This window comes from Homo sapiens, chromosome 20 (genome assembly GCF_000001405.40).
Source record: "Homo sapiens chromosome 20, GRCh38.p14 Primary Assembly".
In the NCBI taxonomy this organism is placed as follows: Eukaryota; Metazoa; Chordata; class Mammalia; order Primates; family Hominidae; genus Homo; species Homo sapiens.
This window is the reverse complement of record NC_000020.11, coordinates 33,835,729-33,862,366: the sequence shown is the minus strand read 5'-3', so window position 1 is coordinate 33,862,366 and position 26,638 is coordinate 33,835,729. Positions and strand designations below refer to the sequence as shown.

At 48.3% G+C, this 26,638-nt stretch overlaps 1 protein-coding gene across 1 annotated transcript in view, besides 3 other annotated features; it reads right to left on the bottom strand.

Moving 5' to 3' along the window:
- CHMP4B (charged multivesicular body protein 4B) overlaps window positions 8,001–26,638 on the bottom strand; it is a 43,019-nt gene continuing 24,381 nt past the window's right edge. The window contains exons 2-5 of the mRNA NM_176812.5: window positions 13,723–13,900; window positions 11,301–11,415; window positions 10,164–10,290; window positions 8,001–8,871 (exon numbers count right to left, since the gene is read on the bottom strand). Of these exons, the coding sequence (NP_789782.1) occupies window positions 8,807–8,871; window positions 10,164–10,290; window positions 11,301–11,415; window positions 13,723–13,900 (485 nt within the window). The 3' untranslated portion in view covers window positions 8,001–8,806. The remainder of the gene's footprint in view (window positions 8,872–10,163; window positions 10,291–11,300; window positions 11,416–13,722; window positions 13,901–26,638) is intronic.
- Window positions 8,600–9,100: an enhancer, noted in NCBI's record as "H3K27ac hESC enhancer chr20:32441073-32441573 (GRCh37/hg19 assembly coordinates)". NCBI's record gives its function as "activates a minimal SCP1, AML or CMV promoter by ChIP-STARR-seq in naive H9 embryonic stem cells {active_cell/tissue: H9 hESC(naive)}" and the evidence as "EXISTENCE:reporter gene assay evidence [ECO:0000049][PMID:30033119]".
- Window positions 18,285–18,584: an enhancer, noted in NCBI's record as "active region_17749". NCBI's record gives its function as "activates an Ori minimal core promoter by ATAC-STARR-seq in GM12878 lymphoblastoid cells {active_cell/tissue: GM12878}" and the evidence as "EXISTENCE:reporter gene assay evidence [ECO:0000049][PMID:35858748]".
- Window positions 24,681–24,830: a silencer, noted in NCBI's record as "silent region_12825". NCBI's record gives its function as "represses an Ori minimal core promoter by ATAC-STARR-seq in GM12878 lymphoblastoid cells {active_cell/tissue: GM12878}" and the evidence as "EXISTENCE:reporter gene assay evidence [ECO:0000049][PMID:35858748]".

The following is a 26,638-nucleotide window of genomic DNA, read 5'->3' as shown; positions in this document are numbered from 1 at the left end:
TGAACCCGGGAGGCGGAGCTTGCAGTGAGCAGAGATCGCGCCACTGCACTCCAGCCTGGGCGACAGAGCGAGACTCCGTCTCAAAAAAAATTAAAAAAATAAAAAAATCCTTAAACTCTTTAGGAATACAGAAAGAAAACATTGAAATTTTTTATTATAATTATTTCTATCCTAGGCTTTTAAAACTTCAAGGAGTTGTGTATTATTACACAATATATTAGTACAGTGGTACATTTATATAATTTATTAATAAATAAATATGGTATATACTCACAAATATTCTTTTGATAGGGGTTCAGAGACCAGATGAGTTCATTCAATACCTGGCATATACTAAATGCTCTGTGTTAGCTATCATAGCAGACTTTAGCTCCCAAAGACAGCCCCAGTAATATCTCCTGTCCCCCAAGCTCTTTTAGAACTAGCCATGTCCCCATCAAGAGGTGGAGCCTAATTCCTCTCCCTTAGAATCCCGGGTGGGTTTGCAACTCACTGATAACCAGTAAAATGCAGTGAAGTGATTCTGCATGACTTCTAAGTCTAGGTCACAAAAGATGACGCACCTTCCCCCTTGCTAGCTGGGACAATCACTTTTAGAGCCCTGAGCTCTGGCTACACTGAAGTCTCCACGCCATAAGAAGCCCAAGTCACATGGAGAGGTCTCAGGTTCCTGCTGACAGCCCCAGGGCACGTCCCAGTCAACAACCAGCATCAACTACCACACGTAGCACACCACTGACTGGAGAGGTCCCCAGATAATTCCAGCCTCCAGCCATGGAGGTCATTTCAGTCTTCAGGTCTCCCAGGTGCGGTCCCGGTTATCACGGAGCAGAGGCAAATCATTCCACTGGCCCTTTCCAAATTTCTGACCACAGAATCTGTGAGCTTAATAACATAGTTGCGCCGAGTGTGGGTGCTCACGCCTGTAATCCCAACACTTTGGGAGGCCGAGGCAGGCAGATCACCTGAAATCAGGAGTTTAAGACCAGCCTGGTCAACATGACAAAACTCCGTCTCTACTTAAAATACAAAAATTAGCCCGGTGTGGTGGCACGCACCTGTAATCCCAGCTACTCTGGAGGCTGAGGCATGAGAATCACTTGAACCCAGGAGGCGGAGGTTGCAGTGAGCTGAGATTGTGCCATTGCACTCCAGCCTGGGAGACAAAGTGAAACTCTATCTCAGAAAATAAAATAAAATAAAATAAAATAAAATAAAATAGTTGCTTTTCACAACTAAGTTTCAGGGGCGGGTTTCTTGCAGCAATGGAGAAGCGAAACAGCAATGAGTATGTACCCTGATGTCTGTCCACGCTTTGTATGAGGGAACCAAGTGTCCCTACATAGGCGCCCAAGCTGAGGAGGGAGATAAGGAATTTTCCTACCAAACAAGGAGCTTTGTGAGAGCGGGCATAGAAGTACTCAAAAAATTCTTTGGGTATTTATTTTGTTCACTTGTTTTGTTTTGTTTTTCTGAGACAAGGTCTTGCTCTGTCACCCAGGCTGGAGTGCAGTGCCATGATCCTGCCGCACTGCAGCCTCAACCTCCTGGGCTCAAGCAACCCTCCTGCCTCAGCCTCCTGAGTAGCCAGGACCACAAGCACGACCACCACACTTGGCTAATTTTTTATTTCTTGTAGAGACAGGATTTTGCTATGTTGCCTAAGATGGTCTCGAACTCTTGGGCCCAAGCCATCCTCCTAGCTCAGCCTTCCAAAGTGCTGGGATTACAGGCGTGACCCACCAGGCCCAACCAAAATACATTTGTTTGGCTGGGCACAGTGGCTCACGCTGTAATCCCAGCACTTTGGAAGGCCAAGGTGGGTGGATCACCTGAGGTCAGGAGTTTGAGACCAGCCTGGCCAACATGGTGAAACCCCCATCTCTACTAAAACTACAAAAAAAATTTAGCTGGGCGTGGTGGTGCACACCTGTAATCCCAGCTACTTGGGAGGCTGAGGCAGGAGAATCACTTGAACCCGGGAGGCGGAGGTTGTAGTGAGCCAAGATTGCGCCACTGCACTCCAGCCTGGGCAACAGAGCGAGACTCCATCTCAAAAAAAAAAAGAAAATTGTTGAATGAATGGCTTTCATAGAATAAGTAATTCATTTGCTTCTTTACTTTGTCAGACAATCAGTGAGATTGTCTGGGTGAAAACAGACAGGTCCTCAGGGTGGGAAGGGAGACCCAGCCCCAGAGGGGATCCCCTCATCAGCCCCTTGTGGAAAAGACAGGAGCCCCAACTCTTCTGCATGGCTGACCCTGCCGCTCCATTCCAGGTGACCCTGGGTGATCCCAGGTCCTGTTGCCTGTGGCCTTTTCACTGTCAGTAGGAAGTGGCCATGGGAGAGAGCTGGCCTCTAAAATCCCAGGGTTTGGTCACATTCAGGGTCAACACCTTCTAAGGGAGTCAGGGATGCATCTCTGTGACCCGGCTCCTCCCCCACCACAGCAGCAGGGAAGGCCTGGGGAGGAGGTATGTGTGTGACTGGATTCTTGTGACTCCACAACTGTGGCTTTGGACAAATCACTTTATCTCTCTGAGCCTGGGCTTTCTCTGCTGCAAAATGGGGTAACGAATGGTTCTGCCCTGAAATAGTTCTTGTGTGGGTTCAGTGAGAAGGTACAGATTGTCTGTTCTTCGTGTATGTTCCCTAAATGTTTCTACTCTGAAGGGGGATCCTTCTCCTCTGCTTCTCCCTCAGAGCTACTCTGCGGGAATTTGGACCAGTTTAGCCAGTGCCTCATGGAAATCTAGCCTGGGATTGGTGCAGAGTCTCAGCTGCAAGACCCAAAGTCTTGCGTGTCTAACCCAGCTCCACCTGGCTCCTCTGCGGTCTGGGCAAGGCCAGCATACAGCTGAGCAGGAAGGAAGGAAGCAGTTTCTGAGACGGGGTGCCCAGGCCAGACCGGAAGAGACATGGATGGGGAGACAGGGGAGCTGGGTTCATGAATTTGCTCTGCTGGTACTTGGCTGTGACACTTGGAAGCACCTTGGCGCCTCGGCCTCCTCATCTGTAATTTCATTTCGTAAATGTTTACTGCAGGTCTGGTGACTGTGTGTCATGGTTCATCTGGAGTTCACAAGCAGGCCAAGGGTGGCTCCAGGCCTTTCTTGCACAGGCATTGAACGCGACCCTCCGACCTCTCTATTGTTACATCTTTTCCCCTGCTGAGACCTCATCAGCCTCCGATCTTGGCTGAGATATCATGTCCTCCCACAAACCCTCCTGAGCCAGGAACCCTCTTCCCAGTGGGACTCACTACAGAGAGGACCCAGCCTGTGGTGATGATGATGAAGAAGTGGATGGCTACGGCCTTTCTAATTTTCCCACCAAACTGTGAGCTTCCAGACAGCTGGCATAGAAGTACCCAAAACATGTTTGTAGAATGAATGAATGGCCTTCACAAGCTAAGGAACCCATGGCTTCTTCACTGTCACTGATTAGCAGTGGGCCCTGGAGCTTCTCTGAGCCTTGGGCTTCACATCCAGCACATGGGGCTCACGAGACCTGTGCTTCCTGTGTCTGCCCCACTGAGCTCTCTCCACCCTGCTGCGGGCTTATAGGCCCCCAGCTCACAGCTAGAGTGGGTTGAATAATGTCCCCCAAAATTCACACCCACCCGAACCCTCAGAATGGGACCTTATTTGGAAATGGAGTCTTTGCAGATGTAACTAAGGTGAGGATCACAATGAGATCATATTAGATTAGAGTGAGCTCCAAATGCAATGACAGGCATCCTTGTAAGAGACAGAAAAGGACACAGAGAAGGCCATGTGGAGGTGGAGGCAGAGTTTGGGACGATGCAGCAGCCAGCCAAGGAGCACCCAAGAATGCTGGGAGCTACCAGAAGCCACAAGGGCCAAAGAGGATCCTCCTCCACCAGACGCTCTGCTGATACCTAGATTTTGGACTTCTGATCCCTTGAACTGTGAGAAAATACATTTGCTGTTTTAACTGAAGTTGGTGTGTCCACATTACAGGCTGCTGAGGTGGCCTGGCCACACACCTGCCTGGTGTCGTCCCTACTTGGAGCAGTGAGGTTTGACTCCACAGGATCACAGCTGCTGCAAAGCTGTCTTCACATCACTGAGGGAAATGGAAGGCAACCTTAGAAGTTTCATCTCTATCCTCTCCTGGCCCCAAATTATTGCCTGAGAACCTAATTTCCTTTCTCCCTTTCTTCCTGTTTTCTGTCCCTTCTTTCCTTCCTCCTTCCCTTTCCTCCCGTCCTTTCCTGCCTGCCTGCAATTGCCTTAGTCTCATGCCCTCCATCCCATCTAGCTCCAGCCTCCCTCTTCAGTTCTACCTCCCACCCACTCCAAGCAAGCCCCTTCCCCCAGCCAACTCCTCCCAAGGCAGCCCCTGGCCTCCCTGCCGTGTCTCCCTCAGCAGGTTCCCTTGGTCTATGGTGCTCCGCCTCACAGGCATACGTGGAAAATCTGCTCCTTCACGTGCAAGCTCAGATCCCACCTCCTCCTGGCACACCCTGGCGACAGTACTTCCCTCTGACTTTCCACCACACCGGTGTTCACATAAATGTCTTCGTACCTGATCTGTGCCAGGTGGACCTAGGGGCCAGGAAGTACAGTGACCTCGCCATCTGGTAAGGGAGTGGGAAATGATGAAGAGACAGCGTTGACAGGTGGGCAGCAGAGGAGGAAGCAGCAGCTTTTGCAGGACAGGGAGGGCTGTGTCCAGGAGGGAAGGGCCACAGGGACAGAGCACATGCTCCAAGAGACAGGGAAGTCTGGGTAACAGGATTTGGGGTTCAAAGGGAAATGAAAATGGGGGCCAGGTCATGAGGTCAAGTTAGCCATTCTGAGGACTTGATCCTGTCGACGTTGAGTGTTCTGAGTGTGGGCTCCAGCCCACCTACATCAGAATTACCTCAGGAGTTTGTGAAAATGCAATTTTTTTTTGAGACAGAGTCTCACTCTGTTGCCCAGGCTGGAGTACAGTGGTGCAATCTCAGCTCACTGCAACCCCTGCTTCCCGGGTTCAAGCAATCCTCCTGCCTCAGCCTCCCGAGTAGCTGGGATTACAGGCATGTGCCCCCACGCCCGGCTAATTTTTGTATTTTCAGTAGAGACGAGGTTTCACCATGTTGGCCAGGGTGGTCTCCAACTCCTGGCCTCAAGCGATCCACCTGCCTCAGCCTCCCAAAGTGCTAGGATTACAGGTGTGAGCCATCGCACACCCAGCAGTGAAAATGCAATTCTTGAGTCTCCACCCAGCTCGGGATTTTTCACAAGCTCCTTGGATAATGGTGACGCACCTTTAGTCTGCCCAGAACAGGAGAGGATGGAGGCAGACTGAGGGATTCGAAAGGACCAAGTGTCACGATCAGATCCACTTTTTGGAAGAAACTGGTAGCACCAACTACATACGTGTCTTATGTTCTTGGTTCTGCCTCCATGGTGCACACTGTCGGTGCCACCTACTCAGCAACTATCCCTCCTTCTTCCTTGTTAACAGAAGCCCAATTCTATTCAGCATCAAGTAAGTGGACATTAATATATTCAGGGAAGGGAGGCTCCACCCCTAGCCCTACAGGAGAGCCCTATTTGTCCCTTTTGTCCCGTACAAACATTCCAGACTCCCTTGCAGCAAGAAGTGGCAATGTGACAGTTATGGTCCATGAGGCATAAGGGACAAGTTGTAAGATGACTCTGGGGAAACCTGGCCTGTTAACATGGGCTCAGGTGAAGGAAAAGCTGGCGGGTGCTGGGCCTGCTGCTTCTTGACACTGCGCATGTGAGGAAGGGCCATCTCACAACCAAGAGACAGCAAGACTTCCAGCCAGGTGTGGTGGCTCACTCCTATAAACCCAGCACCTTGGGAGGCTGAGGTGGGAGCATCGCTTGAGCCCAGGAGTCCAAGATCAGCCTAGGCAACATCGTGAGACTCCCTCTCTACAGAAAATTTAAAAATTAGCTGGGAGTAGCGGCGTGTGCCAGCTACTCAGGAGGCTGAGGTGGGAGGATTGCTTGAGCCCAGAAGTTTGAGGCTGCAGTAAGCCATGATTACAGCACTGTACCCAAGCCTGGGTGACAAAGTGAGACCCTGTCTCAAAAAAAAAAAAAAGAAAAGAAAAAGCCTCTATGTGTGCAGGGTGCCAGAGCAGAAGGATGCAAAGAACCTGGTTCTTGAGGACATGGTTCAGCCACTACCCCAAATCCAGAACCACCCCCTCGCCCCACCACCAAGATTTCTTGTCCTGAGATTGTTAGACTGTAACCACCTTGAGGGCAGGGACTCTGATACCTGTACTCCTGGCACCTTGAACAGTACTTAGCACACAGTAGGTGCTCAATAAATATCTGTTGACTAAGTTTTCATAAATAAGTAAATGTCTCCATTGCTTATACCAGTGGGTTGAGGCTTCTGTTGCTTGTAGCCAAGGAATCCTGACTCAGTAACTTCTCTCTCTGGCCCCAAGAACCTCCTGAGAACAGGAGAGGGGCTGGGTATTACTGAACACTGTACTCCACAGGCCCTGGCACAAGACCCACACTCGGTAGAAATAAGCAGCTCTTGCTCAGAGGAGTCACAGACCCTGCCCTGGACCTGGCTTCTGGGTTCACCAGAGCTGGAGGGTTGAGTCTGCAAGTTCCCCTCACACAGACCTAGGGCAAGACGCCCTGTAACAGCTGATGAGAGGAGCTTAAGAAAGTCCACTGGGGGCCGGGCGCGGTGGCTCACGCCTGTAATCCCAGCACTTTGGGAGGCCGAGGTGGGCGGATCATGAGGTCAGGAGATCGAGACCATCCTGACTAACATAGTGAAACCCTATCTCTATTAAAAATAGAAAAAATTAGCCAGGCATGGTGGTGGGCGCCTGTTGTCCCAGCTACTCAGGAGGCTGAGGCAGAAGAATGGCGTGAATCCGGGAGGAGAGCTTTCAGTGAGCCGAGATCGCGCCACTGCACTCCAGCCTGGGCGACAGAGCAAGACTCCATCTCCAAAAAAAAAAAAGAAAGTCCACTAGGTCTCCCACACCAGCGATACCCAGAGGCCACACCAGCTGCAGGCTGAGCGGGTGGAAGCTGGCAGCAAGCACTGCCACTAGATTTGTCTTGAGGTGAAAGAACTTCTGAGACTAGCCAGATCCAACCTCCACACAAGTCAGGAATTTTTAAGCCACTGTCTTCAAGTCCCTCCCAGTTCTAAGTGTGGCAGCCCTGGGATGCCGCAATGAGGGATGAGGGACAGGGCATGAGCCGCTCAACACAGACAGGACCTCAGGACTGATCTGTTCCCATCCCCTTGCTTTCCAGGTGAGAACAGGAGCCCCAGGGAGGGTAGGCAACTTGCCCCAGGGCGCCCAGTGAGCAATGATGGTGTCTCATTTTGAACTCAGGTTGGTTTTACTTTAAAAGGTTTGGGAGTGAGCACAGGGGGACAGGGGTGTCCTCTCAATACTGCAAATTTGCATGCAAAATTAAGGATAAATATGTAGAGATCCACCTTTCTGAAGAGGGTCCACAGCATGCATCACACTCTCAAGGGGATACAAGACCAAAGAAAAGGGGACAGAGTGGAAGGGGCTGGGCCAGAGTCATATGTTGAGTCTCAGCAGTCCTGAGGTGACCTCTGTGTCCTAGATTCTCAGTCAGTGCCCTACACTTCCTCCCCATGGGAAAGGCCATTTCTTCAATGTTCCTGATGAGCCTTGTCTGATGGGAGCACCATGGCTTCCAACAGTAAGGCTCCTGCTGGCACTGCCCATGGACACTGGCAGAGAAGAAATAGGGAAGACCCTGAAGTACCCAAGAACCAACTCACCCTGAACTGTACCCAGAGAGTCCCCAGGCAAGGTGAGGGCCAATCTAGGACTTGAACAGACTTCTGGTGAGACAAGCTCTGCTCTTTGGTTCAAACTGTTGACACATGTCATGGTTAAGTCTTCCATGTTTCCAGACTCCACTGTACACCTTGCTGGTCTGGAAAGGGTCAGCTCCCGAGGCAAATGATAGATTAAACACAACAGCAAAGTATGAAAATTAATCGAGATATTTAATAGACAGTGCAAACCATAATTTCATCTGAATATAAATGTATGCACGTTTCCAATGAGTTATCTATCAGTTATCACAAACAGCAACAAGGACCTTATAGCTATGTTAGAAAACTGTATAGTTGGAACTTAATTCTAACAATCTCACTTGCTCTCAAGAGAACACCATCCATTTCAAATCAATGTCACAAACTCCAGAAGACCAGGGGAGCAAGGGGGTGAGGAGTGGGCCAGAGTGGTAAACACAGGGCCAATACACAGGTGATGGACAGAAACACAGCTCTGGAGGAAATCAAAATCAGATGCATTATTACAGCTAAGGGCAAGGAAAAGCCTATGGCTTTTGAAAAATGACTTTTCTGCCAGTACCGTACAAGTACACAAAGAGATGTGCGGCAAGTCAACTGACTTACAAGGACAGAGGCTACATTTCAGGTCATTTCAACTGCAACCAGTCGACCCTTTCCATTGAGGATTCAGCAGTGGAGTCAGCGTAGTCCAGAAGCTCAATGTTGGATTTGCAAATACAGTTTATTTTACAGAAATTCAACATTATAAACAGCAGGCACTTCCCACCCCGCCCGCCCCCCTCCCCCCGCCCATCTCCCAGGTGCAGACCATGCTATGCAGAGAGTGAGCAGCAACGCGGCCCTACTGCTTTGGAGTGAGAGTCGAAAGCGATGGAACCTGCCTGCACCACATCCTGCCTGCCCCACACACGCACACGCCTGCTCGCTGCGCAGGCCACCACAGTCTGTCTGGGCCCAGCCAGCGCTGGACCCCATTACATGGATCCAGCCCAGTTCTCCAATTCCTTCATGTCGTCGTCCTCCTCTTCTTTCTTCTTGGCTGTGTGAAGACAGAAAAGGCTATTTAGGATGACTGGTGCGTTCAACATGTTCTGGCCGGAAATGAGGGCTGCCTGTGCTCCATGGTGTCTGTCAAACAGCCCTGCCCTGTGGCCAGACTCCTCTCCAGGCTGTAGGGAGACTGCTCCTTGGTGCCTAAAAGCTGCAACATACAACTCTGGAAAACCAAGCACAGTTTGGCAGCACCCACCCTCCGCCTCCAGCAGGCCCAGACAAAACAAGGATTCTACACAGAGGCCCTCAGGATTCCCACAAGGCTTCGGTCCCAGAGCCTGCAAGGTGGGAGGAGAGTGGGAAGAACCCCAGAAGAGATCTAATCCTTGCCAACCCCCAACTCCACCTCAAGTGGCTTGACTCATGGCCACACAGCTCCAGGAGGCTTGCTGGACGGCCTCTGCCTACACAGGACTCTAGGCAGCTGACTCTACTTGAGGAGGCCGTTCCCTCTTTATACATGGGAGAGGGAGGTGACCACAGCTGGTCATGCACTGCCCCCAGGGTTCTCTCTCATGCCACATCAAATTGCCTCGCTTTTTCTAGAAGTTCTGTGTGGATTACTTCTACCTGGGGGTGAAATATTGTGCGAGGGGATGGGGGAAGGGAAGAAATGAAGGGAGGAAATGAAGGTTTTATAGAATCAGGTCTCTAAAGGAGTCAAAGCTGTTTCCTTCCCCCAGGGGCTGTCTCTAGGGGCCGGGGCTTTTGCAGGGTGCGCAGCACAGGATACTAGAGGGGCAGGGAAAGAGCTGTCCTGGACTCACGCTCTCACACCTTCTCACAGTGCCTGGAACTTTCTCTTCTTTAGTGAAATAGGAAAATCATTCTAGAAAAGAGGCTCTCAACTGGGGGTGATCCTCCCAACCCCTACCAAGGGACATTTGGCCATGTCTGAAGACATTTTTGGTTGACATAACTCATGGCGGTTGCTACTGGCATCTAGCAGAGGCCAGGGATGGTGCTGAACATCCACAGTGCACCGGACAACCCCGCCCCCACCCTCCATCTCTCGGCCCAGAGAGGTATCTGGCCATGTCCACAGCGTCAAGATTAAGAAACACTGTTCCAGAGAGAAACCAGAAAAAGCCAGGTGACATGGCCTCTGTGGCCACTACAATGGATCCTGTCTGGTTCTCAATCTTGGGCAAGCTCAGGACACAGACCAAAGCCAACCGACCACAAACCAAAGCCAACCGACCACAAACCAAAGCCAACCGACCACAAGATCACCTGCCACATGACCTCACGGTGTGCCATGACTCTAGAAGCACTCACCGGGTTTTGATGGTAGGGCTATAGAGGGAACATTTGGTAGAGGGACTGTTTCGGGTCCACTGATTTCCAGCAAATTCTTGTCTAGTTCCTCCTGTTCTAGTTCTTCTAATTCCGCCATGAGCTCATCCTAGTAAAAGGAAACACAAAGTGAGCGCCCTCCCTGGGAATCCCAGCCCCCGCGGTCATGCCTCCTACCTAATTAATGCTCATGGAGACACACACCCCTCTGAGAAGGTCTGCGGGGAGGTGAATTCCAGGTTCCAGACCCTGTGATTCAAATATCCTAAAGCAGCTTCTACTGGGGAACGTATCACTGCTGCACATCACTGATGTAGACCTCTGGTGTCCTGCACTAGACTGTGAGCATCTGGGAGAGGGGATCATATCTTTGCCTTCCTATTTATTTGGCTCAGAGCTGGGCACACGAGTGAATGCTCAGAAATGTTTGCTGATTTGAAATGAACTCGATTCATCCATCGAACTCCAGTGTGAAAACATGAAAACCCTGGTGTTGAGAGCCAAAGGTAAGAGCTGCACGCTGTTTTCTCGGTTATACAGCAGGGGTCAGAAAGCACAAAGGTCCAGCAGAAAGGACCTAACCTTCAGGAGACACAAATCTAGCACACAGTGAAATACCTTCAACAGGGGCTGGTACCATACTTTAAAAACCTAAGAGACTCAAGGTCCCAAATTGCTACAGCAGAAACTGGCAGATGGCCGAGATCTAGACAGATACCCCGGGTCAGGGGTAAGTGCCCCCTCTTTGCTCTACCTTTCCCTCATGCTGAAGCTGTCTCAGGGAAAATCCTGTGAACTTCTCCAGGGCATGGTCATCTCTGCTGCCCAGCTCTGTGCCAGGGCCCACCCTGGAAAGGTGCAGGCTAGCTACTTGTTCAAATCAGTTAGTGACCTGAAGCCTGCTGAAGGGTCCTGATGAATGTGCCTTTACTCTACCTAAGCTTCCACCCCAAATAGAGAAAGTGTCCCTCAAAATGCAGAATTCAGGGAGGGTTAACACCATGCCCTGTCTCTGTCCAAGTCCAAATGCTCCCTGCCTGAGAGCCTTCAAGAGCACATCAAGGGACAGCCTCAGGGTATCATTTGTGAAGCTTATGGGATCTGTACAAAACTACTCACCTCGTCAAACTCTTCTCCAAACCCTACAGGTTTCGAAATTGCTGTTGAAATCTCCTCTGCAAGTTCTTGCTGGTCAGCAATGTCCTGCATTAACTCATCAACTTTATCGATGTCCCTTCAAATGCAATGGACAGGTATCATATCAATCGATTAGGCTGCGTAAAGGGGGCCTGCAAGGCAAGGCGGGAGCAGAAACTGGGCCCCACAAAATCAGCTTCCCAGCCACACCCCCTGCAATGACTCCCTGTGAGGGGTTACTTGGCATTATTGCCTCCTCCCCTTTAAAATAGAGAATCATAGACTCAAGGGGACGGGAATGTCTTTAAGACACTACCCAGTCCAACACCCTACAGGTGGCACTATCAAGGTCCTACATACAAATTAGTAAAGGTATCACATTAAGACCGCAGGGCTTTAACTCCTGGGCCAATAGCTCTTTTTCAAGTCCAAGGGTAACTCTGTACAGGGGGAAGTAAAAGCACAAATCACAGAAGACAGCCATGCTGTCTAATGGGCCTTCCATCTACTCAGTCCACCTATGGATCCTCTAGGACCCCAAAGGAAAGGCAAATTCCGCAAATATGCAGAATTTTCTTCTACACACTGACAATCATATAAACCTATATTTACTCAAGCCAACATACACACATATACGTCAACATTTGCACAGTATTTAATGAGCTGCACTCTGCTAGGTTTCCAGGAGAACACAGAAATGAGGCATATATGGTTCTCATTCAAGCAGCTCGGTCCAATGAACATCCACCCTCAGACAAAACCTCACTTATTTGAAGGCTACTTCTCCTGCAACCTCACATTTCTAGAGCAACATCAGCAAGCTTTTTCTGCAAAGGGCCAGACAGTAAACACTTTAGAATTTATGGCCAGACAGTCTCTGTTGCAAATACTTAACCCTGCTGCGTAGCACAAAAGCTGCCACAGACAATATGTAAATTAAGGGGCATGACTGTATTTCAATAAAACTTTTAAGGCTAGGCACAGTGACTCACACCTGTAATCCCAAAACTTTGAGAGGCCCAGGAGGGAGGATCACTTGAGGCCAGGAGTTTGAGACCAGTCTGGGCAACACAGTGAGACCCCATCCCTGCAGAAAATTTTAAAAATTAGCCAGGCATAATGTCACACACCTGTAGTCTGAGCTACTCAGGAGGCTGAAGTGAGAGGATGGCTTGAGCCCAGGATTTTGAGAGTGCAGTGAGCTAGGATTGGGCCACAGCATTCCAGCCCAGGTGACAGACACAGCAAGACCTTGTCTCAAATAATAATAAAACTTTATTTACAAAAACAGATGGCAAGCCCATAGGGTGCATTTTCCCACCCATTGGACAGCACAGCTGAGTACCCAAAAGGAAGCAAAAAAGGCACCTAGCACCCCCAAATATATGCTGCCAAATCTAAGCACTACAACAAATGCAGATTTTTTATTTTTTATTTTTTATTTTTTTATTGAGATAGAGTCTCACTCTGTCGCCCAGGCTGGAGTGCAGTGGTGCAATTTTGGCTCACTGCAACTTCCACTTCCTGGGTTCAAACGATTCTCCTGCCTCAGCCGCCAGTAGCTGGGATTACAGGCGCATGCCACGACACCCAGCTAATTTTTGTATTTTTAGTAGAGATGGGGTTTCAACTATGTTGGCCAGGCTGGTCTCGAACTCCTGACCTCAGGTGATCTGCCTGCCTCAGCCTCCCAAAGTGCTGGAATTATAGGCGTGAGCCACCTCACCCAGCCCAAATGCAGATTGTATTCAAGAGAGAGGCCTTCATTTGGAGCCTCCTTACCTTGGCCTTTAGTTACAACTGTAACAAGCTTGGTTATCTAGTTTCTTAGGCCACTGCCATGAGAGGTAGCCATATAGGGGAAGAAGGACTGCTGAGGGCAAGATCACTGTCAATGACAGCTACAGCCGGAGAGCAAGAGAGGAGGCAGAAAACGCCATCAAAAGCAGACATAGGAACAGAGAGATCCAAAGCTCTTGGATGAACCACACATTTCAGGGCCCCTGACAGCATCAGGGAAAAATCATGGGCACCGATTCTAATCCCAGTTCTAACCAAGCTCCCATGTCACACAGGGCAAATCCGCTTCCCTCTCTGGGACACAGCTTCCCCACCTTCACATTCACAGGTCTGGACAAGAGGACCTTCTAAAGGCCTTTCCAGCTTGAAACTATGCTCATCACAATAACCCTGAATTACTCAGAAAGTACTTTTACATCCCATGAGATCTCCTTTCAAAGGCACGTCATCCATTTTCGGAGTTCCAAAAAAGAATGAGAATTAAAACAAACTCAGGTGCTCGAATAGGTAAGTCAAGGGATCCGTCTGCCCAAGGCCATGGCCTGGGTACGAGGCATTCCGGGACTAGCACTGCCCTGTGGCGCAGGGGCGGGTGGACACGTACATGTTGTCATGGGCCGCCTTCATGGCCTTGGCGGCATAGCCCATGTTCTTGAGCACCTCGGTGTTGGTGTTGGCATTCTCCAGGGCCTCCCGCTGGAACTCGATGGTTGATAATGTGCCGTCGATCTGCGCCAGCTGCTTCTCATACCTCTTCTTACGCTTCAGTGCCTGGAGGGCCGCTGCGTGAGGGAGAAAACAGGGTTTCAGAGAGTCCCGGCACAGGGTGAGGTTCTAGTGTCACTGAGTCTTTTCCCCAACTCTACTGGAAGCACCTCTGTTGTTGCTTCCACTATAGCAGAGGATTCATAAATTCTACACAAAGAGCACATTCAATTTTCTACAAAAACATAAAATTCACATACCTCAAAACACGGCCAGTAAACAAGCACACAAGCCAAAGTTCAACCCTCGGGTAACCACGCACACACACAAATCAAAGCATGGACAGCCACCTGAGGAAGAAGATGCTCTGGGGTCAAACTCCCTTAGGGTCAAAGCCCAGCTCACAGACTCAGGTGAGCTACTTGGCTTCCCAGATGGGGTCAGTGTGAGCAGCAAATGACATACTGTATGTAAACACCTGGCACATTCATCAGTGTGTATGCCTCTCAAAAAAAGCGGCTCCCATTATTATAAAGCAACTTCAAAGTACTATTTTATGCCACCTAAATTAAAGAAATCATAAATATAATGACTATATCAAATACTAGATCAGTTTGGGTTAAAAATGCTATTTCACTCATAGCCAACAACTGTGTAAATTGTTACAATGCTCCCGAAAAGTAACATGGCAACACACAGCAACAACCATCATGATGTTCTTATCCTCTGACCCAGTAATTTCCTTCTGGAAATGTATTCAAAAGCAAGAAGCCCCATGCCTGAAGATGGCTACTACAGCATCCTCCATCATCGAAAACAAGACCAAACTAAAAAGCCAGACAGAACTCCTTGCCACGGCCAAACCTAGAGTCTGGCCATTTGGTTGGGTCAGTGGCATCATCTACCTTGGCCTCCTAGCACGCTGAGGCTGTGGAGATCACCTCATGTTAAGGTCCAGTCAAGGCAAGCAATTTGACCAAGGTGAATCTGTGGCAGAACTGGGACCAAAACCACATCTCCCAACTTGAAACCCAGATTTCCTTCCCCTCACGGTCTCAGTTCCACTCTTCACACCGAAAAATATCTTTAGCACACATCTTAGATGATGTTGGGGCACAGGACACACCACCCCAAAATATGACTGTAGGAGACCAGAATATACCACCCCCAAAATATACTTCTTTGGCATATTTTGAGCTGGTTATTCTAAGAAACTAGAGTAGCTCAAAAAGCTGTCCCTTTGTTTAAAAAAAAAAACAGTACATCTAAGAAGAAAATCTACATTACTAAAAGTATCTGTGCCAGGAAGAGGGCTGCTCCAGACAACTTTTATTACCTAAGAGACCTTTTATCTGCATAACAACACATCCTTTATTCACCATAAGTAATTCTTCCCCTCACCCTCCCATAAGTTATGTCCCCCACAACAACCCCCAAGCCCCTATTCTTTTCTATAGCTCAGGATGCTATATAAGCTTCAAGCATCTGACTCTTCTTCAAGTCTCATATTTTGTGGGATTTCCACATGTACATATGTAACTAAATATGGTTTTTCTCTTGTTAATCTGTCTTATATCAATTCAGTTTGTAGCCCAGCCAAAGAAACTAGAAGGGAAGCTATTTTTTGCTCCCCTGCAATGGGCATCAAAAGCTAGGAAGGAGGCTTAGCACAGACTCTGTCAGAAGAAATGGCTGAGCTGGACTGGGCTGGGTCAGGAGCACTAGCCTCACACACACATGCACTCAGCATGCACACTCCCCCATGTCCTGGAGTTCTGGACCACAGCCATCTCCTGCAGACTGGAGGTCAAAACCCCCTCCCCCATGAGGCTGTGGTTTCTCCATATGTCACATGAATAGGTCCCATGCTCCTTCTACTCACACCCGTTGGCCTGGGATTCCGTCCTAAGGACCATTTGCCAAGGGAAAACGGCTTGGCCTGCGTATAGCACACAGCTCCTCCAAAAGCAGCAGAAAACTTCTCCCAGCCAGTCTTTCCAACAAATGCTGACCAAAATACATACATACACACATAAAGAGAACTCGTAAAACATCTGAACAACAATGAGATGTGCCTCATTAAAATCTGAAAAGCCACTGAATCCGTAATCTCCCTTGATTCTGATGTTGGCTGGAATGGCCCAAGACTTCAAGAAACCCATCATGCAGTCACACCAGGGGATCCTCAAGACCTTCACTCTCATCTTCTGTTAGCACTAAGTCATGCTCACTTCATAAGGGCCTCAAAATAGCAACCCTTTAAGGTTAGATGATAAGGTTAGTTGATGAGGAAACTGAGGTTCAGAGATGTCCTGTGACTCAGCCCAGGTAACTGGCAGAGAGGGGACTTAAACCAGGTATGGAACCCCAAAGTCCCTGCCCTGCCATTATGTTATGCCCCCCACTTAATGAAAAAGGTAGGATACTGCCCTGGAGGGATCGTCCAGTCATGCAGGAAGTGACATGGGGACTGTGGGAACACAGAAGAGGGAATGCAAATCCAACGATTCCTTTGCTGAAAAATCCTCAGTAGCTCCCTTTGCCATATGGTTTAATATGGCCTGCCCGGTCCTGCAGAGGCAAGACGTTAGAATTCTCTCCATAAGCCCAAGTCCTGGGAGCCCTAGCACAAGGTCTACAGAACCGCCTTTGCCATCAGTAATGTCAGAGGGAAGAGGTCCTGGGAGAGTCCTGTAAGTGCCCCAGGGCGTGGGGCTGCAGGCCTGCTTCCTGTGACTTCCTTGGTGCTGTGTTCCTTTTCCACAAAAGCCATACCCTAGACATACTCTAATCACCAAGTGATTGTGAATCCTTCCGAGATCAAGTGCCAATGTCCCACAGGTGCCCCTTTCTCAACTCCCCTCCAGCCAGCTCCATCACCCACAGTCCAGCCCATCATTAAGATTCACCAAGGCCTTCCATACCAGGCACGCTGGCTCACGCCTGTAATCCCACCACTTTGGGAGGCCGAGGTGGGTGGATCACCTGAGGCCAGGAGTTCAAGACCAGCCTGGCCACCATGGTGAAACCCCATCTCTACTAAAAATACAAAAATTAGCCGGACATGGTGGCGCGCACCTGTAGTCCCAGCTACTCGGGAGGCAGAGGCAGGAGAATTGCTTGAACCCAGGAGGCAGAGGCTGCAGTGAGCTGAGACCGTGCCACTGAACTCCAGCCTGGGCAACAGAGCAAGACTCCATCTCGGGGGCAAGAAAAAAAAAAGATTCACCAAGGCCTTCCAAGAGCCTGCTGAGTGATGGTGAACAAGCAACGGCAGTCCCTTCCGCCTCCTATTTCATTTAATCATCCAGAGATCCCAAATGAACAAGGAGACTGGGGATCAGAAAGGTGATGCAGCTCACCCAAGTCATCCTTCTGCCAAGTGAGGAGGGGAGTAGTCTGTGTAACTCCCAGCTCTATGCTCTTCCTCACAGTCTCAGAACGACAGCAAGTGACTCTGAGACCGTTCATAAGAGCAAACACTCGGCCGGGCGCGGTGGCTCACACCTGTAGTCCCAGCACTTTGGGGGGCCAAGGCGGGTGGATTACAAAGTCAGGAGATCAAGACCATCCTGGCTAACACGGTGAAACCCCATCTCTACTAAAAATACAAAAAAATTAGCCGGGTGTGGTGGCAGGCGCCTGTGGTCCGAGCCACTTGGGAGGCTGAGGCAGGAGAATGGCGTGAGCCCAGGAGGCGGAGCTTGTAGAGAACCGAGATCACGACACTGCACTCCAGCCTGGGCGACAGAGCAAGACTCCATCTCAAAAAAAAAAAAAAAGAGCAAACACTCTTTGACAGAGCTGCCTTGCTTTTCAGCATCCCGAGTGTAGCAGGAGCTTGGTAAAATGCTTATGAAACTGATTTTATACAGTCAGCTACATTCTTATATTTAAAACCAAAGTTATTTCCCTATTAACATCATAGATTTAGAACTGCTTTTTCTCCAATATATTTTCCACTGGCAGTGACTCCTTGTATGCCAACCCTAACTTCCTCTGACCTCCACCTCCCACTTCTAAAATCCCCCAAATAAATGATCTGGAAGCAAATACGCAAATATACCAGGGAGGAAACCAAGAGCCCATCCCCACCCCGAATGAAATAATGCTGATATTATTCATCTTTGCAGATCAGCAATCCAGCACAATGACTGATACACAGTAAGTGCTTAGTATCTACTAAATTGAACCTGCAATTTCATTTGTCTTACAAGGTTTTCATGTATTCTATCCAGGGTTCTTCATGGGGGATCCACCCATATTTTATCTCCCGTGCACCTCTGACCCACAGAATTGACGTCTTACTGAAACACAGGCTAGAACAATCATTTGGCAGCATCTTTCCACTGCATTCCTCCTGGCCCATAAAACAGGGACTTCCCGCAAGCACCTGGCTGTAAGGTGTGCTCTCTCATACTGGGGATAGGACCTGAGCAAACAGTATGAGGGACAGTCCCGGGGTATCCCCCCAGGACTCCCCTTCCTGCCTGCAGGGTTCACACAGCCTCTTCCCCTCTTCGCAGTGAACTCTCCAGGATGTTGATTTTTCTTATCTAGATCCATCTGCTGTCTGTGTTTCTCAACTAGTTTAGAACTCCAAAGAGAAAGGCTACATGATTAATTTTCCCCCACAGAAACACCTAAACATGCTTCATGAGTAAAGTTACCTTGAAAATAGACATGGGGTCAGCATCTGGGCTGCAGAAACAGATGTAGACAAATATTCACAGCACTTGAACCACCTCCTATATCTTACAAATGCATGGCTCCGGTGGTGAGGTGTAACAGGGCAAACTAAAGGCTCAGAGGTATTAGAGTGCTTCCACAAGTAAAACGCCATTCTTCTTGAATACTATTACACTTAGTAAAACTTCCTCCATGCCAACCTTATTTCTGACCACAGAAATTTGCTTCTATCTGTAACCAACCCAATGTTTTCATAAATATTAAATATATACTGGTTCTTAATGTTTTGCCTTAACTTTTCCAGATTCCTGATGGTTAGATTAAAAAACAAGTACCGAGTTAAAGAGAAGCTGTTCAGCTAAATCAAATATTCAAAAAAGAGGTGTCTAAAGAAACCCATCTTCTGCCAGAGAACCCCCAGCACCATTTATAAACACAATGGCTTTAACAATTGAAATCTAAGCCAGGCCAATAGAAGTTTAAGAGGTTGCTTTTAGATGGGAAAAAACAGTCCTTGGAATCTCCATATTTAATTATGCCTTTGCCAGTTCCAAGAGAGTAATTACAGCAGCAATTACAGAATCTAATAACCAGCTTTATTGGCTGTGAAAGCTGAAGCAAAAACAACTCCAACCATGTTGAAATAAACATTGGTCTCCAGACAGTTGCTTCATTAGCCCCTCCAAACAGCTATTTAGAGGAAGGATACAGAACAGATACCCTAAGAAGCAGAGACCAGTCAAAAAGACGTTCACCCAGGATGGAAACCCTTTCTGTGAGGCAACAGCTAGTGATTACAGAAACCATTTTTAGAGAACACATCAGTTCGATACAACTAGACAGGACGTTCCTTTCTCCTAGTCAAACACGACTTCTCTGAAAAGCTGCTGAGGACGGCAAGTCTGCCTGTCCCAGATCTGGGGGCGTTCAGTATAGGGGCAAATAGCCCAGGGCACCTCAATAGATGCCAAGAAGTCATAACTATACACTCATTACTAGTATAGAGAAATTCAGGCATGGAGGGAAGGAGGGCCCAATAATATGCTCTCACTAAACGAATGGCAGTGTCTACAGTCCTTCTGAAGACCCCAGAGTCTACATTTGAAGTCATCTAACAGAAGGTACAGGGCTGGGAGGGAAGAGGGCTGCTGCTTTCCCACTCTCAGCGTGAACAACAAAGCAAATGAACACACTCCTGAGGTCCTGAGGACACTTACACACAAATGCAACACCAGGACTCCAGCCTAAGTGAGCATTCTGAAGAACCCTCAGCAGCCTGGTCCCAGTAGGGCTACTGGCAGGCAGGGAGCCGAGCAAGGCTGAGGGGGCCCCACTTTGCCTGCCTCCAGCAATCACTCAGATAGCTCCTCCTGGCTCATTCTGCCAGTGAATAAACTCAGATATTCAGGGTGCCCTTAGCCAGGAGAACTATGCCTGGCCCTGAAGCCACTGGTTGCTCTGCTGGACGGAGGAAGTGATGGGGGTGTCATCTGTGATCTGTCATCTGCCCTGTGTGTATGGGCAAGAAAAGACCCAAAATCAAGTCTACGGCCATACCACCCTGAACATGCCCAATCTTGTCTGATCTCGGGTGACCCAAAGTCAAAACAACACAGTTAACCACCAGTGTCAAAGAAACCCATTCTCCTGTAAAGATGGTTATCAGTGACCATCCTTGTACCACATGGCATTAGAGATCCCACCAAACTTTGACTAAGTAAGAGTTACGATCATGGCATCAAGAATAGAGGGGGCTTGAGGAGCTCTTGGAGATAACGAAGACCAACCCCTCATTAGATAACTGAGAAAAATGATGTCCAGAACAGGCGGCACAGCTTGCCAGGACCCCGCAGTGCACAGTGAGACAGAGAAAGAACCAGGACTAGTACCCAGGTTTCCAGCCCAGGACTCTTTCCACCACCTCAAGTCTGTTGTCTCCAAATTTAGTTGCTACAAATAAATCAGCAGTTCCCCGTGCCATAAGGAAAACAGTCTGCCTAATGTTCTTCCATCCAGTTTCCAAACTCTGCCCTTGATAAACTCCATTTTAAAGCTCATGCTGACACATGAAAGAACCAAAAAGCTACCTGGTTTGCTCTCCTAAGTCCCCAGATAGAAGGGGGGGAAAAAAGAATGGGAAAGAGGTGCTAATCGGGCTGGTTCAAGAATACCTTCCCCTAATGAGTGCTGTTGATACACCTGCAGTTTCAGAAGGCAGGGCAAGGCTAGGCTCTCATTTCTCTACCCTGTGTGAGGGTGCCTGGGACAGCATGGGCAAACAGAAAGTTATCAGAAACCAAAATGCACCAAATGCATATTGGAAGCCCAGACAGAGGCTGTTTTGTGTCCATCGTTGCTCTGACACTGTCGCAGGCTCACCTGCAGGACAAGGGCCTCATCCTGCAAAAGCCTTGGAACGCTGTCCCTGACATTGCTGTATTTATTCCCACACAGCTGGAGAGTTCAGGCTAGAGGTGCAGACAGCTTTTTCCAGAGCAGCCTCCTTCTCTGTGATGTATCTCCCTGTTCCTCTAATTTGCTCTCCCTGGCCTGGAGCTAATGCACTCCATTTAGAGATGGTAAAATAAGTACTTGTGTATGACCAGGAAATCAGAGTCTGAAACCCTGCTGACTTCATCAGCAAACACATAGGGAGTACAGTACTCACTGCAAGGGAAAATTCTAGACAGAAAGAAAGAAGCCCCTTATCTGTTTGAAAGGGACAAAGATGAAAGAAATAAGCCCCACAACTAACAACCTAACAGAATATCAAACGCTCCAAATCATTTAAACAATACAAACAAAGTGTGTTCCGTAAAAGGCATGATAAAACACACTCTGCAGTCAAACAAGCTTAGGAAATGCTGGATCACATCAAGTTACAACGGTCATTTAGGGAGTCCAGTTGTCTAGCTTCCAGTTTCACCTCCACCATCAAGTAGATTACTTAATCTCACTAATAACCCTCATGATAACAACACGCACCTCATAGGGTTATTGTGAGGATTAAAATGAAGTATGTATGTAAAGCACCTGGCACAGGGCATGACATGTAAATGTTGGTCACTGGTATTACTTACTGCAGGACTTCCCAGATCCTATTTTGATAGGAAGAAAACACCGACACCTAACTGGCTCACCAAAAAAAAGAAAGGAAAGAAAAGACAAGAAAAACCAACAAGACACACACCAACATCTGTAAAACACAGCTTGGGAGAAACCAATTTAAAACCACCTGATCATTTGGCCAATGCCAGCTTCATCAACCCCTGCCCTTGGCTGATGCTGGCCAGCACTGGGGCACAAAGAAAAGAATATGAGGCTTGGTATCAGTAGACCAGGCCAGAATCCCAGCCCTGAAGGTGGGTGTCAGGTAAGTTATTTCACATCTCTGAACATGTTTGTCAGATGCAAGATGGGGGTGAAACCACTACCCTAAGGACAGACGAGAAAGATAATCACTATGCAAACACTTGATGAATATGAGCATTCTCTCCTCCGTCTTGCCTGTTTCCCCCCCGCCTCTCTTTCCTTGCCTGTGTCCAACATTGTCTCTGGGGATCTCTGCATCTTCTTGTCCCTGTCCTGTCCCCCCCCTTTTTTTTTTTTGAGATGGAGTCTTACACTGTCACCCAGGCTAGAGTGCAGTGGCGCGATCTCCGCTTACTGCAACCTCTGCCTCCCGGGTTCAAGTAATTCTCCTGCCTCAGCCTCCCAAGGAGCTGGGATTACAGGCGCCTGCCACCACGCAGTGGTATCCTGTCCCCTTTCCTAGCCCAGTATGTCTAAGAAAGAGTATACAGTTATGGCATGGTGGAGAAAAAGTTAATATATAACAGCAGCTAACATTTATGAGAAGCTTCCTGGGTGCCATGATTGGTGCTTTCATGGCAATGAAAAATTGATACTTTCCATGCTCACTAGTTCTTCCCAACAACCTATCTATGAGGTAGGTACTGTTACTGTACCACTTGAAAGGCCAGGGTATTGAGGCTCAAAGAGTTTATCACCTGCCCAAGTCATACAGTTAGGCAGTGGCAGGCCTGGGATCAAAGCCAAGCTGCCTATCTGCAAAGGGCATGTTCTTTCTTTGCAGAAGAGCGTCTACCCCGCACCAAGCAGGCAGCTGGGCCTGCTTCTGCCTGAGCCTGGGGATCTGAAAGCCCTGAAGGCCTTCCCCTCCCCATGGACCCCACAAGTTAGCAGCAGTCTGGCACCAAGGGCATTCAGCGGGCTGCCTGTTCTGCCCACAAACTGTCCACTAGCGACAGTCCAGATGGTATGCAGTAAAAACCTCTACCTGGAAAAAAATTTTTTTTCTAGTAGATTTTAAATTGGTTAAAAACACATGGGATAAAAATCCAACCATTATTACCATCCTCTCTACACTTAGGTCGATGACTCTACATAGCTGGAAAGTTTGCTGTGAGCTTTTTTTCTGTTTTAAAGAATAAATGTCTTCTTCCCTCACGTCTACCCTAAACCATAAGCTCCTCCAGGGTGGAACCTCCATCTTTGTGCCCCTAACAGCACTGAGACAGGGAGAAGGGAGGGGCACTCCATAACGCCCAACTTGACCCTGCCATTTCCTCATTTGTGGGTGCCCCCGTCCTCTCACCCTATAATGGCTTCCAGATCTTTTCCCAGGTCCTAAGACAGCCTTTCCTCCACATTCTGGAGGACCCAGGGACCAAAGCTACAAGAACCTCTGTCACTTGCCCACTTTTTTCCTGTGTCAACCCACACTGGAATTGCTAGAACCCTAAAACCAAAGGGTCAGGGGATTATTATTAGGGACAATGAGCCTAGGACCTCCCCTGTGACTATACCTGGAGGGAAGTAGCAGAGACCCAAAGTAAGCAGCAGATTATTCCAGACTGGGTCAGCAGGCGTGGCCCAGGGCATAAGGAAGGAGAGAAATGGCCACGGGAGTCAGGGTCACCAAAGGGAACCCTGCAAGGCCTATCTGGGCTGCCTCCTCCTGCTCCCCAAAGGGCAGCTGATCAGGAAGAGAAGGGGTTTCACTTCCTAGACCCAGCAGGCAGCCCTGGAGTAGCTCTTGGTGATCAAGATAACTCAGAGCCAGGAGGGGGAAACCAGGATACTGGGAAGGAAAGTGACCTCCCCCTGGTTAGTGAGGGCCATAGTCATTCAGCCTGTGCCCTGCAATCCAAGGCCAAAGTTCTTTCCTAGACACCAGCCAGGCTGCAGAATTTCATTTAAACAGCGATCAGAGGCTAAAACTGAGCACCCATGCAGCCCACAGATATGTCTTCATTTGTCCCATGTCTTAAGTCGTGTCTTAATACGTAAATTTGAATATTACATATTACACATAAAAATCCAGATTTTTGGCTTCCTTTTGTAAAGATGGAGTATCTGGCAACACTGAGCCCACACTGCCACCTAGCAACGATCCACTAGAGCAGAGCAGCAGCCATCCCTTTTGGAAGGGGCACACACTTTCCAGTCTGTCTCAGAGCCCACCACTGCCCACCAACTTCTACCTGGACACATTACTCATTTACATGTCCTGACCAGTCCCTGTAACACCTGACACTAATCTTACATCCGGAGGAAACTGCTAGGAGTTATCTGATATAATCCCTTGCCTTCAGGCAGTTAAGGCTGTGTTCAAGTTAAAGATAGGCAACTGATGTCATAAAGGTTCAACAACCTCCTCAAAGTAACAAAGTTAAAGGTACTTGACAAGGAGGAATCCAAGCCAGGTGCCCGAACAGGAGACTTGTATCTAGACACAACCTGCAACACGGGTCCTGTGATTCCGAATCTGGCTTCTAGTTCCAACTCTGCCATGACTAAAGTATGTCACTGAGCAAGTCCCCTCATTTCCTAGGGCCTCAGACTCCTCATCAAGGACACAAGAAGGGCGGATTAGGTGCTCTCTCTAGGTCTTCCTTGAGCTCTAACAATAGGTGAACCCATATAGTTCTGAGATTTCCAATAACAGGATTGAAACAAACACAAAAGGCTCTTTCTGGTTGATCTTGTGTGATCCAGAAAATGTAATTAACATCCATATGCTCCATTTCCTGACTGCTTCACATAATCAAGTTTTTCCTGCCCAATGAAATAAGCAGTCTTTCTTATTTTAACTGGCTTCACAAACTGAGTTAGAAAGATCAGAAACTCCCTTTAGCCTCTGAATTAAGCTGCTTCAACTGGGCAGAGGAAGTAGCACTCAGATCCAATGTGAGCCACAAATGTCACTCAGGAAGCAAAGGTAACTATAGTTAGAATGTGAACACAGACACCTTCACCCTCCGTCTCCTTACAAGTTCTGGCACTGCCTCCCTCCTCTCTCTGAAATTCCTCTCTCCTGTCAGCCTTGAGGGATCCCCTAGCCTGGCTCCCTTGCCCCAGAGGCCATTCCTTCTTGAGGTTTTTTTTTTTCCTAGATCCTTCCCTCTTCTCAATTCCTAATGGTTGAAGCTCAAATCTTAAAAATCTTGATCCTAGGTTCTTCTGTTTTTTTGTTTTTGTAAGACAGGGTCTTGCTCTATTGCCCAGGCTGGAGTGCAGTGGCACAATCTCAGTGCACTGCAACCTCCACCTCCCAGGCTCAAATGATCCTCCCATCTCAGCCTCCGAAATAGCTGTAGCCCAGGCTGGTCTCCAACTCCTGAGCTCAAGCAATCCAATCCACCTTGGCCTCCTAAAGTGCTGGGATAACAGGAGTGAGCCACCGCGCCCGGCCAGTTCTTCCTTTCTCACATGAACTAACACCTGTTCTGAGCCTCGTATTTTATTCTTGTATTTAATCCTGACAATAAGGAATTCGTCTTACTAGCCAATTTTACAGATGAAGAGATTTGAGGCCCGGAGAGATTATCTCAAAGCTTGTGAATAACCAACCAGCAGAGTCAGGATTCAAATCCAGACTCTTCCTTCTGCTTCTAGCCAAGACAGGATGGCAGGGACTAGATTTATCCGTAGCCCAAGAGAAATGAATTAACAGTTTTTGAGACACTGGACATCAAGCAAAAAAGGACAGTGATCCAAGTTGAACCCTACGATCACACCCAGTTGATTGCTGAGAGTTTCCAGGCCAAGGAGCAGGCAAGGAAAACCCAGGCAGAGCCCAGCAACTTCCTGAATTAATGAGATAGAGCTGAGAGTCTGGGGAGACCAACGCAGCTGGAGTTCATGAGAGTACCTGAGGAGAGAGCTGCATGGAGAGAGAAAACCCTGGAGAGCCACGGAGGGTCCTCCTCAAGTATTCAGCAGAATACTGATCAGCACCCATGTGTGAAAAAGCTATCTAAGGCCAGGGAAAGAACCACTCAAAAGGATGACAGAGAATAAATAATATTAAGTACTCACATGGGGCCAGTCATAGTGCCTCTTCCTCAGCTAGATTAGAAAAGCCTCATAATTCTTCTTGGAGGGCCTTCAGGAGGGCCTTGTCTTAATAGTAGGGATTAACTAGCTCTATACTAGATAAACACTGCTCTGGGCCTGCCTAATAATTCTTAGACCCAAGACCCAAAAGGCAAATTGTTACCAAAAACTTGTGCCCCCAAAACATAAAGAATATAGGACGACAGAAATATTCAGTACCCAACAAGGCAAAATTTACATTTGACATCTAATCAAAATCTACCATTTATGCAAAGAAATGGGTAAATAACACCCATGATGCAGAGTAAAATCAACAAATTCCAAGTAACCCAAACTAACACAGATGTCAAAATTAGCAAAGAGATGAAAACAGTTATAACTATAGTCTATATGCTTAAAAAGCGAAGGAGAAACAGGGAAGATATTTGCTATGGTTTGGATACGGTTTGTTTGACCCTGCCAAGTCTCGTGTTGATATTTCATCACCAATGTCAGAGGTGGGGCCTAGTGAGAGGCATCTGGATCATGGGGGCGGATCCCTCAGGAATGGCTTAATGCCATTCTCCAGGAGTAAGTGAGTTCTTATTCAGTTCCCGAAAGAGCTGGTTGTTAAAAAGAGCCTGGCACCTCCTCCTCTCTCTCTCGCCACACACATAAGCTCCCCTTCGCCTTCCACCATGAGTGGATGCAGCCTGAGCCCTCGCCAGCAGCAGATGCTGGCACCATGCTTCTTATACAGCCTGCAGAACTGTGAGCCAAATAAA